The 19,153-nt window shown below is 39.7% G+C and overlaps 1 protein-coding gene across 3 annotated transcripts in view, besides 1 other annotated feature; it reads left to right on the top strand.

Moving 5' to 3' along the window:
* ZMPSTE24 (zinc metallopeptidase STE24) overlaps window positions 1-19,153 on the top strand; it is a 35,945-nt gene that overhangs the window by 3,864 nt on the left and 12,928 nt on the right. The window contains exons 3-7 of one of the 3 annotated variants that reach the window (XM_047427590.1): window positions 5,687-5,773; window positions 6,320-6,436; window positions 7,876-8,028; window positions 9,795-9,936; window positions 18,021-19,151. In XM_047427590.1, the coding sequence (XP_047283546.1) occupies window positions 5,687-5,773; window positions 6,320-6,436; window positions 7,876-8,028; window positions 9,795-9,936; window positions 18,021-18,199 (678 nt within the window). In that variant the 3' untranslated portion in view covers window positions 18,200-19,151. Of the gene's footprint in view, window positions 1-739; window positions 885-5,686; window positions 5,774-6,319; window positions 6,437-7,875; window positions 8,029-9,794; window positions 9,937-18,020; window positions 19,152-19,153 lie in introns of those variants that run through there. The other 2 variants (XM_047427582.1, NM_005857.5) reach the window with 2 other exon arrangements.
* Window positions 10,491-10,590: an enhancer, noted in NCBI's record as "active region_838". NCBI's record gives its function as "activates an Ori minimal core promoter by ATAC-STARR-seq in GM12878 lymphoblastoid cells {active_cell/tissue: GM12878}" and the evidence as "EXISTENCE:reporter gene assay evidence [ECO:0000049][PMID:35858748]".

The following is a 19,153-nucleotide window of genomic DNA, read 5'->3' on the forward strand; positions in this document are numbered from 1 at the left end:
TAAAAGAATTATGATCAGCTACCATCATTGTTTCATGAGTTAAAGAAACTGGCTTTATGTAGCTGTGGTAAATGACAGAATTGTCTAGCTCATCACAAAATTTTTCTTAACAAGTATGGAATAATAAGACTAGTGTGGTTAGATCCAAATTATTAGAAACTGCACTTATTTCTTCAAGGTGATGGAAAATGGCAATGCTTCTAGAAGAGTTAAATTTTGGTATTTAGAAAAATTAATAAATGATTTGGAAAACAAAGTCTCATTGGCTTTGGGGATACACAGCTATTGCTATTAAGTAATCTTTTCAATAAAGACTTGGCTTTAGTTAATTTATCTGAGCATTGCTTCTGTTAGGGACATGTCACAAGTAGGAAATCATCCTTCAGAGACAGATGGAAGTAGAAGTGGTTAATTTAGACACTATTCTTTTTTTTTTTTTTTTAAATAGATGAAAGAGAGTTTACTTATGTATTTATATAATGGCCTTGGTCCAAAAAAGACTAAAGGGAGCTCAAAAAAGAATTATAGTAACTTTAAAAAATACATTAAACATATCCAAGATCTTAAATGTATCATTCTCCCCAAAAGCTAGTTGCTTCCAAACTTGACTTAATATTTTGCATGTTTTCCCTCCATTGCTTGGTAAGTGTATTTGCCTCTTCTTTCTGCAGTTGATGTCTGACGGCTGAGTTTTGCTGTTTTGTCAACTGACATTTCCCCTTCTGTTTCACCAGTTCCAGAGAATTGTTGAACAACTTAACAACACTACCTGAAGAAGTAATACTCAAGAGTTCTTGTTCTATACTGATTAATAGCTCCCATATTTTCTTCATCTCTGAAAAGTCTGAATTCTCTGTTTAATAATGACAAGGCAATTAGATGAGGTAGACACTATTCTCTTTCTGATGTTTGCTTCTTGGAAGTCCTTTGACTTTACCCACTACAGGGCCATAGTAAAATAATAGGAAAAGCATTTTCAATCTCCTTGGTTGTCCCTGGTAAATAGTGCCAGGAAAGATAGACAGTAGCTTGGTAATTATGGTTGGTGACCATAGGAATGGCTGTTTGTTCTAGGGGATGACAGAAATAGGGAGAATACATATATAAAGTGAGAGCTTTGTAATGTACTGTGGCTCAAACTAGAAGCAGTACTGATGGGCTAAGGTTGGGAACAGTAATAGTTAATAGTCGTCATGATTTTCACTTCATACATAGTTTTTATATGTATTGTTTGATGTTTACAACAGTGAAGTGGAAAGGATAGGCATTATTATTCCCTTCTTATGAATGAGGAAGCAAAGGCTTGGATAAATTAAAGGGTTTGCATGTTTAATTGCCAAGGGACATGCTAATAAGTAGGATAACTGGGTTTCAAACTCTGTTCTGCTGAGTCTTTAAAATGACATTGAAAAATCCATTCTTGAAACTCTAAAGACTGCAACATGAATGTGCTAAATTTATCTCTGGGGATTTTCTGGCTGCATTTATGCTTGGCAGGAAGAATATTTTGGGTAACTTTGAAACCTTGTTTTGTTTGGAAACAAGTTCATTAATTTCTATTTTGTGTTGATTAGAATTAATAGGTTTGTATGTTTTGGTCACAGAGATCAAGTGAGAAGATTAGCTTCGACTTTTTTTTTTTTTTTTTTTGCCGTAGTACTTTCTACCTGAGGGAACCTAAATAGAGTCATTGTGTGGCCATTTATGGTTGCCACTGTTCACATAAATATGACACTGCACCCAGACAGAAAATTCCAGCCTCTCTGAGACACTTTCTCTAATATCTCACAGATATCAATAAAGGGCCCACTGAAGAAATGGAATGGCTGGGGAGCAGAGTAGGTCAGGGTCGAAAAGTTTAAATTGTTGCTTCTCTAATTTTTGCATGTTTCTATGTGAGCAGTTTCACCTTCTTGAGCCTAAGTTTTCTCATCTTTAAAATGAGAAGTGGGCTGGGTACGGTGGCTCACGCCTGTATTCCCAGCACTTTGAGAGGCCGAGGTGGGGGCGGATTACCTGAGGTCAGAAGTTTGAGACCAGCCTGACCAACATGGCGAAACCCTGTCTCTACTAAAAATACAAAAATTAGCCTGGCGTGTTGGCACATGCCTGTAGTCGCAGCTACTCAGGAGGCTGAGACACAAGAATTGCTTGAACCCGGGAGGTGGAGGCTGCAGTGAGCTGAGATTGCAACACTGCACTCCAGCCTGGGTGACAGAGTGAGACTCCATCTCAAAAATAAATAAAAATAAAATAAGAAGTGTGTGGATGTTAAGCCATACCTTGTATGGTTTGTGGCAAGGACTAAGTGAGTGAGATAGCGTAAATGAAGCTCAATGCGTAGGAATTACTTAGTCATTGGGTTTCTTTGGACAAGTTACTTCAACCTCTCAGTTAAAGTAACCTTTCAGTTAAAGAGTTTCAGTTGCCTCATCTATTAAATAGAGATGATTATACCCTTTTCCCTGCCTGTTTTTCAAGACTGTAGTAGTGAAGCCAGGCATGATGACTCAATCCTGTAATCATAGCACTTCGAGAGGCTCAGGTGGGAGGATCACTTGAGCCCAGGAGTTTGAGACCAGCCTGGGAAACATAGTGATACCCCATCTTTGCAAAAAAATTTTTAAAAAATCAACTGAGTGTGGTGATGTGCACCTGCAGTTCTAGCTACTTGGAGGCTGAGGTGGGAGGGTTGCTGGAGCCCAGGAGATGGAGGCTGCAGTGAGCTGTGATCACACTGCTGTACCCCCGCCTGGTGACAGAGTGAGATCCTGTCTCAAAAAAAAAAAAAAAAAAAAAAAGAATGTAGTGAAATAATATATGTCAAAGCGCTGGAATTATTTTTTCTGGGATCATTAATTTTGCCATAGAACAACCCTGGGAGCATGCTTAGTGAAATTGTCAACATAGAGACATTGTACAGTTCACCATGCTTTGTTTTTCAGTCCCCAAAAGAAACTAAACATGCTTTGTTTTTCAGTCCCCAAAAGGTTTGCAGTATCAGTTTTCAAATGCATTTATAGATCATTCAGAATTCATATTAAAACTACCCTTGATGCTTATTTAAATACTGGACTTTTAATAATAGTTGCTGTGGCCTTTACTAAAAGCATTATAAGTCCTTAATTATACATTATTTATTAGTATTGGGAATTGGCTGAAAGAAATACCATCCCAGGTCAATTAGATCAACAACTACAGCATATGTCAGACAGTGGTACCAAAGCATGTCTTTTGGGAAAACAAGGTTTATGTCTAAGATTGAATTAGTTGTAGTAAAGTGGAAATACCTGGAGGTAGTGTTAGGGGAGCCTTTTGAAAAGCAATTTATTGGGGCTGAGTGCAGTAGCTCATGCCTGTAATCCCAGCACTTTGGGAGGCCACAGTGAGAGGACTGCTTGAGGCCAGCCTGGGCAACATAGTGAGACCCCATCTGTACAAAAAATTAAAATTAGCCAAGTATGGTGGTGCATACAGTCCTGGCTACTTGGGGGGCTGACATGGAAAGATCCTTTGAACCCAGGAGTTCAAAAATTCAGTAAGCTATGATCATAACACTGCTCCCTAGCCTGAGTGACAGAGTGAGACTCTGTCTCTTAAAAAAAGAAAACAATTTATTAAAGCAATGATTTTCAAACTTTAGTGTACATCAGGTTTACCTAGAAACTGCTGGGCCCCACTTCCAGCTTCTGATTTGGTACATCTGGGGTAGGGCCTGAGACTTTGCATTTCTAAGAAATTCCCAGATGCTGTTGCTGCTGTCCAGAGACCATATTTGAGACCCATGATATTAAACCAATCCAATGTACTGGTAACAGTCTAAAAGATGGATAGTTTAAAGTGTGGGTGAGATTGTGGGAAAACAGAAACACTGGAGTACTGCTGATGGGAGTGTAATTTGTTATAAACACTTTAGGAAATATCCTGATAATACCAAATAAAGTTGAAGTCCACCATGGATGGATCTAAGAAAATTTAGAATATAAAAAGCAAATCATAGACTGATAAGTATAATATGATGTCATTTATATACATTCTTTAAAAGCATACATAAATCACTATATTATTTGTAGATACATGTATGAAAATGGGAATTAGATTGGAAGGGTACCCATGAAATATGATAGTACCAAAACCCCTCAAACCATGAGGAACTATGTCTGAACCAGTGGGAATATTGTGCTTCTAGTCAAGGAATGTGATTGATCATTGTGTTCCTAAGCTGCTGTCCTACAGAGAGAAAAAATAAATTGATTCCTCTTGACAAATGAGTTCCACAAAGTTGTATGTGTTTTGGGCGGTAGAATTCTTAAACATGCATTCTTCTCAAATTTTGAGCTGCTTCCTAGCTCCTAATGTCCTGGTTATTTAGTGAATGTCTGTGTTCACTTTATCTGCCCAAGACCAAGACAAAGGGTGGTGCTGAGGAAGAGCCTTCTCCTGTGAAAGCCGGGCCCCTACCTCACCTCTTCCTGACCCAGCAAAGACACAGATAATCCCATTCTGTTCCCCAGTTTAGTAAGTGGACATGACTCTCCACTTCTGTGCTTTGTTCTGATGGAAAAGGACTATTTTCTTTCACAGAAAAGACAATTATGGAGCCATATTAATGTGGTTCAAATTCCATTTCTATCACTCATTAGCTGTTGGATTTCGAACAAGTTTTTTTTTTTTTTTTTTTTTTTTTTGAGACAGGGTCTCATTCTGTCACCCAGGCTGGAGTGCAGGCACGATCATGGCCCACTGCAGCCTCGACATCCCAGGCTCAAGCAATCCTTCTACCTCAGCTCCCCCGAGTAGCTGGGACCACAGAATCATGCCACCATAATTGGCTCATTTTTGTATTTCTTGTAGGGACAGGTTTCACCATGTTGTCCAGGCTGGTCTCGAATTCCTGAGCACAAGCAATCTGCCTGCCTTGGCCTCCCAAAGTGCTGGGATTACAGGCATATGCTACCATACCCAGCTGTTTAACCTTTCTAAGTTTAGTTTGTGATTTTGTTGTGGTCTTTTGACAAAAGGTTTTTTTTTGTTTTGTTTTAGAACAGCTTTATTGAGATAATTCATGTACCATACAATTCATATACCATACAATTCATCCATATATAGTGTACAGACAAAAATGTTATATTAACCACCTAAATTTAGTATCTCAATGGTTAGTACTCATCTAAATGCATAATTTATGCTAAATGTGAAATAGGTCTATTTTTTAAAAAAATATTTTATTTTGTTATTTTATTTTATTTTATTTTATTTTATTTTATTTTATTTTATTTTATTTGAGACAGGGTCTCAGTTTATTGCCTTGCTGGAGTGCAGTGTCACAATCACGGCTCACTGGAGCCTTGACTTCCCAGGCTCAGGCAATCCTGTCACCTCAGTCCCCCAAGTAGCTGGGTCTACAGGTACGCACTATCAGGCCCAGCTAATTTTTAAATTTTTTGTAGAGATGGGGTCTCAACTCACCTTGTTGCCCAGGCTGGTCTTGAATTCCTGGCCTCAAGCGATGCTTCTGTCTCAGTCTCCCAAAGTGCTGGGATTACAGGCATGAGCCACCGTACTGGCCTCTTTTGTTTTTTTAATAGAGATGATTATTTTGTCCTTTCTTTCTTTATACCATGCTTTCTCATATGATAGTTTCTAGTACTGTTCAACTGTGATCAAAGTATGCTTTGTTTTATAGCTTATTCTTCTCTTTGGAGGAATACCTTATCTCTGGAGACTTTCTGGACGGTTCTGTGGTTATGCTGGCTTTGGACCAGAATATGAGGTATGTGATTCATTAGCATGTATTTGTCATGGTATTTCTTTTAGCTTGGCAGGCTTTCCACTAAAGTTAATTTTTTGGCTTCTGCCAATGTTAAGATTTGCCTCTCTGTTTGCATAGTCCTTGGTTACCCATGCTGTATTGGCATAACATTAGTTACAATAACAAATCCCAGAATATCACAGGCTTATTTGCAATGGTTTATTTCTCAATCACGTAATAGTCCAGTGTGAGTATTTTTAGTTATCAGGTGACTTTCTTCCATGTGGTAAGCCAAGAATCCAGGCTCTTTATCTTAGGGATTTGTCTGTATGATTTAAGGTACCTTTCATATAGTGCCTGTGTAATAAAAAAGGAATTGTTTTGTTTCTCATTTACTTCTCTCAAAAGTAAACTTTTTTGAAGGCAGGGATGATATTTCAGACCTTATGTTATCCATAGAATCAAGCATATTGCTTGGGATGTAGTAAGTAAGTGCTCAGCAAATACTTGTTGATTTGTTTGCCAGTAGTTCATAAAAACTGGATTTTTGTTTTTTCTTTTGTTTAGATCACTCAGTCCCTGGTGTTTCTGCTGTTGGCTACACTTTTCAGTGCATTGACTGGTTTGCCATGGAGTCTTTATAATACTTTTGTGATAGAAGAAAAACATGGCTTCAATCAACAGGTATAATAAAGAATACAAATGTTCTCTTTTAAATGTGAAAAACTTCTGTGCTTTTGTCCTGTACTGTTTATAATTTAAACATAATTTACTATTTCAGAGTATGAATTGAGAAAAAAGGGAACTACAGATATGGTAAAGATCATAGCTGAAAGTCTTGGGGGCCGCGGTGGCTCTGGCCAGTTGCCCTGGCACTCGGGGAGGCAAGGCTACATGTTCGAGGCCAACCTGGTCAACACTGATTTTAAAAAAAAAATACTTAAGGCCAGGCCCAGTGGCTCATGCCTGTAATCCCAGCACTTTGGGAGGCTGAGGCGGGTGGATCCCAAGGTCAGGAGATCGAGGCCATCCTGGCTAACACCGTGAAACCCGTCTCTACTGAAAATACAAAAAATTAGCCGGGCTTGGTGGTGGGCGCCTGTAGTCCCAGCTACTCGAGAGGCTGAGGCAGGAGAATGGCGTGAACCCGGGAGGCAGAGCTTGCAGTGAGCTGAGATCTCGCCACTGCACTCCAGCCTGGGTGACAGCAAGACTCCGTCTCAAAAAAAAAAAAAAAAAAAAAAAAGAAAGAAAAAAAGTCTTGACTGGGTACAGTGGCTCACGCCTGTAATCCCAACACTTTGGGAGGCTAAGGCGGGAGGATCACTTGAGTTCAGGAGTTCAAGACCAGCTTGGATAGTATAGTGAGACTTCATCTCTACAAAAAAATTCTAAAAGCCAGTTGTGGTGGCATGCACCTGAAGTCCCAGCTACTTGGGAGGCTAAAGCAGGAGGATTGCTTGAGCCCAGGAGGTTGAGGCTACGGTGAGCCATCATTGTGCCACTGTACTCCAACCTGGGCAACAGAGCCAGACCTGTCTCTTAAAAAAAAAAAAGAAATTTATGTTATAAACTCCTTTAGCACTAATATCTATTGTTTTTCAGCTACTAATCATTTGTTTGTTTGCGACAGGGTCTCGTTCTGTCACCTAGGCTGGAGTGCAGTGGCAGGATCATGGCTCACTGTAGCCACGACCTTCCAGATTCAAGCAATCCTCCCACCTCAGCCTGCCTAGTATCTGGGACTATAGATGAATTATACTACACTGGGTTAATTTTTTTATTATTATTTTTAGTAGTGACAGGGTCTCACTATGTTGCCCAGGCTGGCCTGGAACTACTGGGCTCAAGCAATCCTCCCATCTAGGCCTTCCAAAGTGCTGGAATTACAGTTGTGAGCCACTGCACTCGTCCTCAGTTAATAAGGTTTAAATGAATTTTCAGCTGTAAAATGCAAGACATTTACCCATTGTCTTAAGCTGCCTAATGTCATATAATATAGTTTCACTGCATGTTAATTTTAAAAATTGCTTTAATAATGTATCCTTTGTATTTATTTATCAGTTATTTTAAAAAGCAGAACCAGTTTCTCAGTTTCTTGTGGTAATGTTTTCTTTTTGCAGACTTTGGGGTTCTTCATGAAAGATGCAATCAAGAAATTTGTTGTGACTCAGTGTATTTTGTTGCCTGTGTCTTCACTTCTACTTTACATTATTAAAATTGGGGGTGACTATTTTTTTATTTATGCCTGGCTGTTCACATTAGTTGTGTCTCTGGTGAGTAAAATCTTTATTTCGTTTTCTTTTGCAAAAGTTCCTTGGTGAGATTACTGTAATCTTCATTGGCATGTAAACAGTTCTTAAGAAGCAGCTGAAATATAAATAGGTGCTTATATACATTTCCCCCTTGGTTTCTGCTTTTGATTGTAGACACAGGAGTATTGACTGACCATAAATTTCCTTCTCCTTATGCTAACTCTTCAGGTCATAGAAACTAGTTGTTAGTCACTTTTAATGATTCAGTTGTCAGGCAGTTTTGGGTTGTGCATTTGCGAGTTGCCACCAGAATGACTAAGTGTGATAATTTAATGACTCCTGACTGACCTCCACTGCCTAAAATCATGGTTATTTTGAAGAGAAATGAGATTTAAGAGGGACAAGAGAAAGAAAGCATATACTTAACTGGCTTTCTTCTGCTTCCCTTCCCTTGCCTTTCCCTTCCACGTTAGACACTCTCTCCCTTCTTTGCCCCATCTGCTTCCCCTTCCCCTTCTATCTTTTACCCATTCTTCTTCCTTTCCTTCTCCTGTCTTCCCTTTTCTCCCCAACTGCCACCTATTCCTGCCTCTCTTCTCCTTTCCTTTTCCCTCTCACTCTTTTCCCCCTGATTTTTCCCTCCCTCACATCTCCTATTCCTCTTCTCTTTCCATACTCTCAAGTGCTTCACAACACAAACACTACAACGCAGTCAAAATGGTCTGTTCAGGGCCAGGCACAGTGGCTTATGCCTGTAATCCTGGCACTTTGGGAAGCCAAGGTGGGAGGATTGCTTAAGCCCAAGAGTTTAAGACCAGCCTGGGTAACACAGTGAGACTCTGTCTCTACAAATAATAATTTTTAAAAAACCCAAATGAAAAAACCCAAAGTGGTCTGTTCAGTGCACCCAGAAATTATCATCTATCAGCTCTTCAGCTCCACTGATGAGGTTTATTTTATTTTAGAGATAGGGCCTCCCTGTGTTGCCCAGGCTGGAGTACAGTGGCTATTTCACAGGCATGATCATAGTGCACTACAGCTTTGAGCTCCTGGGCTCAAGCAGTCCTCCTGCCTTGGCCTCCTGAGTAGCTGGGACTACAGGTGTGTGACACCATGCCCAAGCTGAGGTTTATTTTAGTCTGAATTACATAATGCTCATTGTTTCATTTTCCATTGATGGGATCAAGATCAGAAAATGGGCGCTAGTTGGATTTACAGGTATCTATTGTATGGCAAATTAAAGTAAGATGAAAAAGAGCAGAGAAAATGCTCTAAAAATGCTTAAGGAAGTGCTATTTCAACCACATTGTACAATTATGAACTACAGGTAATTAATTTTAGCTGATAAGCCAACCAAGTAACAGCACACAATCAAGTTCTACTAATTCTTTTTTGGGAAAGACTTCAGGTCTATTGTGATTACGCTAAAAGGTAGAACTGCGTGTTATGATTGACTCATGAAGCATCAGAAATCCCCAAGATAGTTTTGAAAGGACTATACTTATTACCACCTAGAGATTTTAATCACTGTTAGTAGCATTATCCTTTAAAATAAAATTCATAAGTTTACTCTGTTATCAGACTACTCATTTCAATTTAATTCATCAGACAGATATTATGCTCTTACTATCTGGTACTATTTGGGCCTGGGAATACCAGAGCAAGTAAGTTCCTTGTTCTCAAGTTTGAGGTCAACATAGTTGTTTTAATATAATTTAATCTGTATAATAAAGAATGTTTTTTCTTTAAGAACATGTTCATATGTTATTCTGACATTTACTTTTCAGGTTCTTGTCACAATCTATGCTGATTATATTGCCCCTTTATTTGACAAATTCACACCTCTGCCTGAGGGAAAGCTTAAAGAAGAAATTGAAGTAATGGCAAAGAGTATTGACTTTCCTTTGACGAAGGTGTATGTTGTGGAAGGTAAGGCTACCTGGGGATAAGAAAGTTTTATCCAAGTGGTTTGTTTTATTTGATACTTTATTCTTAAAATTTTAATAAAAGAATTAATCAGTTTTTGTTTTTTTCTTTTTAAAATTTGTTATTTAAAGGCTAGGAGTTTACCTTTTGGCTTTTTAAGATTTACAGAAATTGATAACATAGGCCAGGGATAGAAACTGGTGGCTTGATACCAAATCCTGCTCTTGTCTGCAGCTATGTTTGTTTGGTTTTACAGTATTGTTTTAAATTTTTGGCCAAGGCTTTTTCACTCTCTGTTATGTTATCTTATATATTAGACTGATTTATTCACTTCTGTTATCTGCCTAGTTCTTTTAGGTAGTTAAGTTGGACTCTTGAATAGTCAAATTCTGTTTAGTATTAGTTTGGAGGCTCTTAAACAAAGCCAGTGTTATTGGCCTTGTCTCCTCCAAGAAAATATCCAGTGTTCTGGAGGACTCACCTGAAGATTGATTACCAAAGACTGCAGTACCACTGAGTACTGCAGATTTGTTATACTCTGCTTTTTTGATGATTACTTTTGAGATTTAAGTGGTCTCTTGACCGTTACTCAAATCTTGACTTCCCATTAACACCCAGTCTATTACTTTCTTTGAGACTTTGGTAGTTGACTATTAAAGTCTCAAAGAAGACTACGGAGATGTAGAGAGAAACTGTTGTAAGGTTCTATGACTTTCAGAATTTATAAAGTCCATATAAATGAATGTAATAGTTCTGTTCCTGCCACTTACCAGTTATAGGATCTTGGACAAGTGACTTCACCCTTCTGGGTTTCAGTTGTATTTCCTCTAAGCTATGGTTTCACAAATGTTTTTTGTAAAGGGCTAGATAGTAAATATTTTAGCTTTGCGGGCCACTTGTTCTCTGTTGCAACTATTCAGTGCTACTATTATAGCGCAAAAGCAGCCATAGACAATACTAAACAAATGAGTGTGGCTGTGTTCCAATAAAACTTTATGAAAATAAATGGCAGATTGGATTTGGCCTGTGAGCTACAGTTTGCTGATCCCTGCTCTAAAATAAAATATTACCAGTGAGAAGCAGCAGTGTTAGATGAAGGAATAGAAGCAGAAACAATCACAGGGTTAGAGGAGAACAGAGATGGTCACAACTGAAAAGAATGAATCAACAGCAACTGGAAGAACATAGAAATTTCAGACATCTGGCTGGGCGCTGTGGCTCACGCCTGTAATCCCAGCACTTTGGGAGGCCAAGGCAGGCGGATCACCTGAGGTCAGGCGTTCGAGACCAGCCTGGCCAACATGGTGAAACCCTGTCTTTACTAAAATACAAAAAATTAGCTGGGCGTGGTGGTGCGTGCCTGTAATCCCAGCTACTTGGGAGGCTGAGGCAGGAGAATCGCTTGAACCTGGAGGTGGAGGTTGTGGTGAGCCAAGATCAAGCCATTGCACTCTAGCCTGGGCAACAAGAGCCAAATTCTGTCTAAAAAAAAAAAAAAAAAAAAAATATATATATATATATATATATATATATATATGTCAGACATTTAGTGGCTCCTGAGGATATACAGCCCAACTAAAGGCACGATTGGAGTAGCTTAAAAGTCTGTGGAGAAATGGTAGAATAAGCCAGTTCATACTTACTTCTTTAGCCTCTGAAATAACTACTCTTTTTTTTTTAGGTAATATTAAACTAGAAATTTAATCATTAATCAGTACAACAGAATAGTCTCTAAGCTGCTTTTACTGAAGGAGCAACCTAAGTTGCTGATCCCTTAAGTTACAATCAGATAACGTGAAATAATAGTTAATGCTATGACAGTGGAGGTAGTCAATAGAATATGTGAAATATATCGGTGCTATTTTCTTTTTATCTTTTTTTTTCCCCCTACAACATCCAGAGTATGAGAGCTATTTTCATTTTAGATAAAATAGTCAGGGAAGGCTTTATGGAAGGTTATGACCTGAGCTGGGTGTTAATGGGAAGTCAAGATTTGAGTAGGTTGGGGGCAGCATTTCAGACGTCAGGCTTCAGGGTCAAAAGGCTTGGGTTTGAATCATAGCTCTACCACAGATTACCAGTGCTGGGCTTGGTGGCTCCAGCCTGTAATCCCATCTACTGGGGAGGCTGAGGTGGAAGGTCAGGAGTTCGAGACAAACTACTTGTGTGACTTTGCGCAACTTAGCTTTGCCAAACAGCAGTTTACTCACCTATAATGTATGTTTTAATTGTTGTTAACAACAGTAACAATTCTCAAAAATATTTTGAATGAATGAATGTTGTTGCTGACAATAACAACACACATTACATATTTGTAAATTGGTAGGGAGATTGTAGTGAAAAGCCAAGAATCTTGCTCTCAAAATATTATCAGATAGCAAGTGCTATGCAGCAAATTAAACTAGTTTGGTCTGATAAGTTGATACTGTAGATTGGTCATCAGATTGAGCTGAGACCTAAAGGGAGGAGCCGCCCATTTGACGTCAATGGGAAGATGTTCAAGGACCATGAAGAAGTCCAGTGTGGCTGCACCATAGCAGGAGAGTGTTAGGAGATGAAATCTGAGACATAGGCAAGAATCAGTCCACATAGGCCTTTGTAAGTCAGGGTAAGGAGTTTGGATTTTGAGTTCAGTGGGAAGAGCCATTGAAGGCTTAGACAGGAAAGTGACATGATCTGCTTTGTGTTTTTAAAATATCCTGGGCTACTGTATGGAGAATATGTTGTAGAGACAGGCAAAAGTCTAGGTAGGACATAATGGTAGCTTAGACTAGGATAATAGTAATTAATGGAGAGAAGTGGATACATTTGGGACAAGTTTTAGGGTAGAGTTGATTGAATTTTCTAATTGATTGCATTGGGAGAATAAGGGAAAGAGTGACATCAAAGATAATGGCCTAGACTTTTGACCTGAGCAGTTAGATATATGGTAGTTTCCTGAGATGGAAAAAAATAGGAGAAGAGTAGGTTTGTGGGGAATTAAGACTTCTAATGGCTATATTACATATTGAGGAACCTACTAAACATTGTATTAGAATTCTGCAAGCAATAGAAACCAACTGTGGCTGATTTAAGCAGAAAAACTGCTTATTGAAGCACTATTTGGACCAGGCGCAGTGGCTTATGCTTGTAATCTCAGCACTTGGGGAGGCCGAGGTGGGCGGATCACTTGAGGTCAGAAATTCGAGACAAGCCTGGCCAACATGGTGAAACCCTGTCTCTACTAAAAATACAAAAAAAAAAAAAAAAAAAAAAGCCGGGCGTGGTGGCGGGCGCCTGTAGTCCCAGCTACTTGGGAGACTAAGGCAGGAGAATTGCTTGAACCCAGGAGGCGGAGGTTGCAGTGAGTCAAGATCGTGCCACTGCACTCCAGCCTGGGTGACAAAGCAAGACTCTGTCTCAAAAAACAAACAAACAAACAAACAAAACCAGTATTTGGCCAGGCGTGGTGGCTCACGCCTGTAATCCCAGCACTTTGAGAGGCTGAGGCAGGTGGATTACCTGAGGTCAAGAGTTCGAGACCAGCCTGGCCAACATGGTGAAACCCCATCTCTACTAAAAATACAAAAATTAGCTGGGCATGGTGGTGCACACCTGTAGTTCCAGCTACTGGGGAGGCTGAGGCAGGAGGATCGCTTGAATCTAGGAGGTAGAGGTTGCAGTGAGTCGAGATCGCGCCACTACACTCCAGCCTGGGCAACAAGAGTGAGACCCTGTCTCAAAAAAAAAAAAAAAAAAAAAACAACGTTTGATATCTCACAAAATCCACAGGAAAATTAAGTTTACGAAGCTCAGAAAATGGGCTGTTACATAGGAAGGCTAGGAACTTATAATCATATTGCAGAACCTGTCTGGTGAGGACACTGCTGTGGCTACTTCAGAACACCGGATTCAGCCACTAGCACCTGCAGAATTAATTCCTCACTGCTTTGCTTTTTTATGTAATTAGCTAACTATTCAGAATCCCTAAGGGGCACATCTGATTGACTAAGCCAGGGCATGGGGCTAGCTGCTCGGAGTGCTGGGGAAACAAATATCTGGCCTTTTAGATTTCTCAAATGAGAAGCAGCCTCTTACATAGTGTGACACTTCCTAAACTCTGAAAGGAGATTCTAATATTGGACAAGAAAAAAGACTACACACAAGAATACAAACAACAAATAAGTCTATAGACATCCCTGTGGAGATGTCAGACAGGTAACTGTATGTATGAGTCTGGAGTTTTAGGGCGAGGTCAGCGCTAAAAATACAGATTTGGAAGTATCTGGCACATAGATGGTGTTCAGTGCTATCCATGAAGGCACTTAAGAGAAGGGGACCAGGGTCAGAGTCAGCAGAGAAACAGCCAGGAAGGAGGCTAAGGAGGAGAGGCCCTTGAGGTAGGAAGAAAACCAGGAGAAACTGGTGTCTCAAAAACCAGGAGAAGATCGTGTTTTAAGGAGAAAGTGGTCAACTATGTTAAATGCTGCTAAGAGATTAAGAGGAAGCATTCTAAACAAAAAATGGCAATGCCTTACATTTTTGTAGAATGTTTTTGTTTTTGGAGTTCTCAAATATGTTACTTCATACCTCAAGCGATATCATTAATCCATTCAGTAAATAAACATCATTGAATATACAGTCATGCATTGCTTAATAATGGCAATATGTTCTGAGAAATGCGCCATTAGGCTTTTCGTTGTCATGCAAACACCATTATACTCATACAAACCTAGATGGTGTTACCTACTGCACACCTAGGTTGTATGGTATAGCCTCTTGCTTCTAGACTACAAACCTATCTAGCGTGTTACTATACTGAATACTGTAGGCAATTGTAGCATGATGATTAGCATTTGTGTATCTAAACATAGAAAAGATAGTGTGCTCTGCTACAACATTACGGTGGCTATGAGGTCACTAGGTGATAGGAATTTTTCAGCTTTATTATAATTTTGTGGGACCACTGTCCTATATGTAGTCTGTTGACCGAAATGTCATTATGCGGTACATGACTGTATGCGACATGCCAGGCACAGCGATATAAAAAGCTTACAGTACAGTACAGGGATTCTTTTTTTTTTTTTTTTTTGAGACGGAATCTTGCTGTGTCACCCAGGCTGGAGTGCAGTGGTGCAATCTTGGCTCACTTCAAGCTCCGCCTCCCGGGTTCACACCATTCTCCTGCCTCAGCCTCCTGAGTAGCTGGGACTACAGGCGCCCGCCAGCACACCCGGCTAATTTTTTTGTATTTTTAGTAGAGACAAGGTTTCACCGTGTTAGCCAGGATGGTCTCGATCTCCTGACCTCATGATCCACCTGCCTCGGCCTCCCAAAGTGCTGGGATTACAGGCATGAGCCACCGCACCCTGCCAGGGATTCTTAAACTTTAGTAAGTATAAAAGTCCCTCGAGAGTTTGTTAAAAGACAGATTCCTGGGCTTCATTCCCAGAGATTCTGACTTAGTAGGTGTTTCCAGTATCTACTTCTAACAAGTACCCCTAGGTGATTTTGGCGTATTCCTTGGACCACACTTTGAGATACCTGGACCGGTGGGAGATAGTAAGACATTAATTTACTTTTATTTGTGTGCATACAATCTGCTTACTTTCATAAATAACTTCAGATAGTGTTTAATAAATATTTTTAAATTAATTAAAAAATTTAGGATTAGCAGCCAGGCGTGGTAGCTCACACCTGTAATCCTAGCACTTTGGGAGGCCCAGGTAGGCAGATCACCTGAGGTCAGGAGTTCGAGACCAGCCTGGCCAACATGATGAAACCCCGTCTCTACTAAAAATACAAAAATTAGCTGGGTGTGGTGGCGTGTGCATGTAATCCCAGCTACCCAGGAGGTTGAGGCAGGAGAATCGCTGGAACCCGGGAGGCGGAGGCTGCAGTGAGCAGAGATCGCACTACTGCCAGCCTAGGCAACAGAGCAAGACTCCATCTCAAAAAAAAAAAAAAAAAAAAAAAATTTAGGATCAGGAAAGATAGAGATAGAAGGATACCCTGTGTTCAAAGGGTAACACAGACAAAATAAGCAAACATGTTTGGCTCTTCCTGGCAACCAAACCAAAAAGAAATGTAATAATGCAATAAATAAATAATAGCTTCTATTTGTCAAAGTTTTACTACTAAACATACTGCCTAGTACTTTTCATTAGAAATATGAGTAGATAGAAAATTCATGTTTTTTGTGAGAGACTTCAAATTCCCAAGAGAAATAAATGTTTATCATTTCTTTTTTGAAAAAAGTATATGAATAACAGTAGTAGTATAAAGATCAGACAGCATATTATTGCTTCACTTAGAATATCTCGTGTAACGAGGTCAGGAGATCGAGACCATCCTGGCTAACACGGTGAAACCCCGTCTCTACTAAAAATACAAAAAATTAGCCGGGCGTGGTAGCGGGCGCCTGTAGTCCCAGCTACTCGGGAGGCTGAGGCAGGAGAATGGCGTGAACCCGGGAGGCGGAGCTTGCAGTGAGCCGAGATCGCGCCACTGCACTCCAGCCTGGGCGACAGAGTGAGACTCCGTCTCAAAAAAAAAAAAAAAAAAAAAAAAAAAAAGAATATCTCGTGTAATCCATCATCTAACCCAATGAGGTAGATATTAGGCTCGCTTCATAAATAGGAAACTAAAGCTTAAAGAAATTAAGAAAGTTTTCTAAATTGACAGAACTAATACATGGCAGAGCCAAGATTTGAACCCAAAGTCTGTGCTCTTAATCACTATACTCAACTCACTGCACATTGTAGGACATTTAGAAATCAAAGAAGTGCATAAAGAAGAAAATAAAAATCAACCATAGTTCAGGTACTGTTAGCTGCTATTAAAAATTTAGGTATGGGCCAGCTGTGGTGATTCACACCTGTAATCCCAGCACTTTGGGATGCCAAGGCAGGAGAATTGCTTGAGCCCAGGAGTTAGAGACCAGCCTGGGCAACATAGCAAGACCCTGTCTCTACAAAAAATTAGCCGGGCATGGTGGTATGTGTCTGTAGTCCTAGCTACTCAGGAGGATGAGTCAGGAGGATTGATTGAGCTCAGGAGGTCAAGGCTGCAGTGAGCCATGATTATGCCATTGCATTGCAGCCTAGACGACAGAGAGACCCTGTCTCAAAAGAAAAAAAGGTATGTCTTCTTCCAGTCTTTATAAAAATTGCTTTAATTATAGAAGTAGGTATGCTGATTTTAAAAGTCTTTGGGAAAAGAAAGGAAACAAAAATCTATAATTTTAGAATTTAGTGATAAACATTTCAGTATTTTGGTATGTTTCCTAATAGGCATGGGCTTATGCTTTTCTGTTAATATTTGTTAGGTTGGTGCAAAAGTAATTGCAGTTTCAGACCATGAATTTTGAATCCTTATAACTAGGCTCAAACACATCTTTATTAATCAAAAGAAGAACCATTACAATCAACACATTTTTGCCAACAAGAAATACGTTTGCTTATTTCTGTAGGGTAAAACTCTGTGCTTCGGGATTTGGCAAACTCTTGGAAAGCATTTTCTGCATCCAGCTAGTTGTGAAAACGTTTTCTCTTTAAAAAGTTGTTGAGATGCTTGAATAAGTGGTAGTCAGTTGGCAAGAGGTCAGGTGAATGTGGCAGATCAGGCAAAACTTCATAGCCCAATTTGTTCAACTTTTGAAGGATTGATTTTGCGATGTTCGGTTGGGTGTTGTCTTGGAGAAGAATTGGGCCCTTTCTGTTGCCCAGTGCTGGTTGCAGGCGTTGCAATTTTCTGTGCATCTCATCGATTTGCTGTGCATACTTCTCAGATGTAATGGTTTTGCCAGGATTCAGAAAGCTATAGTGGATCAGACTGGCAGCAGACCACCAAACAGTGACCATGACCTTTTTTTGGTGCAAGTTTGGCTTTGGGAAGTGCTTTGGAGCTTCTTCTGTGTCCACCCACTGAGCTGGTCATCGCCCGTTGTTCTATAAAATCCATGTTTCGTCTCACGTCACAGTCTGATAGAGAAATGGTTTGTTGTGTAAAATAAGAGAAGACGACACTTCAAAACAATGATTTTTTTTAATTTTTATTTTCGCTTAGCTCATGAAGCACCCACTTATCAGGCTTTTTCACCTTTCCAGTTTGCTTCAAATGCCAAACGACCGTAGAATGGTCGACATTGAGTTCTTCGGCAACTTCTTGTGTAGTTGTAAGGGGATCAGCTCCGATGATTGCTCTCCATTGGTCATTGTCAACTTCCGATGGCCTGCCACTACGCTCCTCATCTTCAAGGCTCTCATCTCCTTTGCAAACTTCTTGAACCACCACTGCGCTGTACGTTCGTTAGCAGTTCCTGGGCCAAATGCGTTGTTGATGTTGCGAGTTGTCTCTGCTGCTTTACGACCCATTTTGAACTCAAAGAAGAAAATTGCTTGAATTTGCTTTTTTTTTTTTCTTTCTTTGTGAGACAGAGTCTCCGTCTGTTGCCTAGGCTGGAGTGCAGTGGCGACATCTCTGCTCACTGCAACCTCCGTCTCCTGGGTTCAAGCAGTTCTCATGCCTCAGCCCCACGTGTAGCTGGGATGACAGGTGTGCGCCACCATGCCCGGCTAATTTTTTGTATTTTTGGTAGAGACAGGGTTTCACCATGTTGGCCAGGCTGGTCACGAACTCCTGACTTCAAGTGATCCGCCTGCCTCAGCCTCCCAAAGTGCTGGGATTACAGGCATGAGCCACTGCACCCAGTTGAATTTGCTTTTTGTCTAATATAATTTCCCTTATCTAAAATAAATATAAAATAAACAGCAAGTAATGTCATTAGCAAAAAACATAAAGTGAGAAATGTGCATTAAAATGATGTATAACATAACCATATTTATTTAAGAATGTATTCCAATATCAAACAGCAAATTTCAACAATGCAAAAACCGCAATTACTTTTGCACCAACCTAATACATGCACATTTTTTCTTGACGATAATGGAACCTGATATACGTGAAGTTTTGTATCCTTCACAATATATTGGTGAGCTTTTTCTTGTTAAAATTCTTTGGAAGTATAATTTTTTTCTGGCAGCTTAAAATTCCATTTCATAGTTTTACTATAATTGAATCATTTGTAACTGTTGGATGTTTAGGCTTTACTTATTTACTTACTGCTATAAAGCTGTGATGAGCACATTTATTGGCAAAAAACAGACACTCTCCACTGCTGGTGGTGAATTATGTTGATATGATTTTTCTTCACATATTAAATGATTTGAAAATGTTAATG

This window comes from Homo sapiens, chromosome 1 (assembly GCF_000001405.40).
Source record: "Homo sapiens chromosome 1, GRCh38.p14 Primary Assembly".
Taxonomy (NCBI): domain Eukaryota; kingdom Metazoa; phylum Chordata; class Mammalia; order Primates; family Hominidae; genus Homo; species Homo sapiens.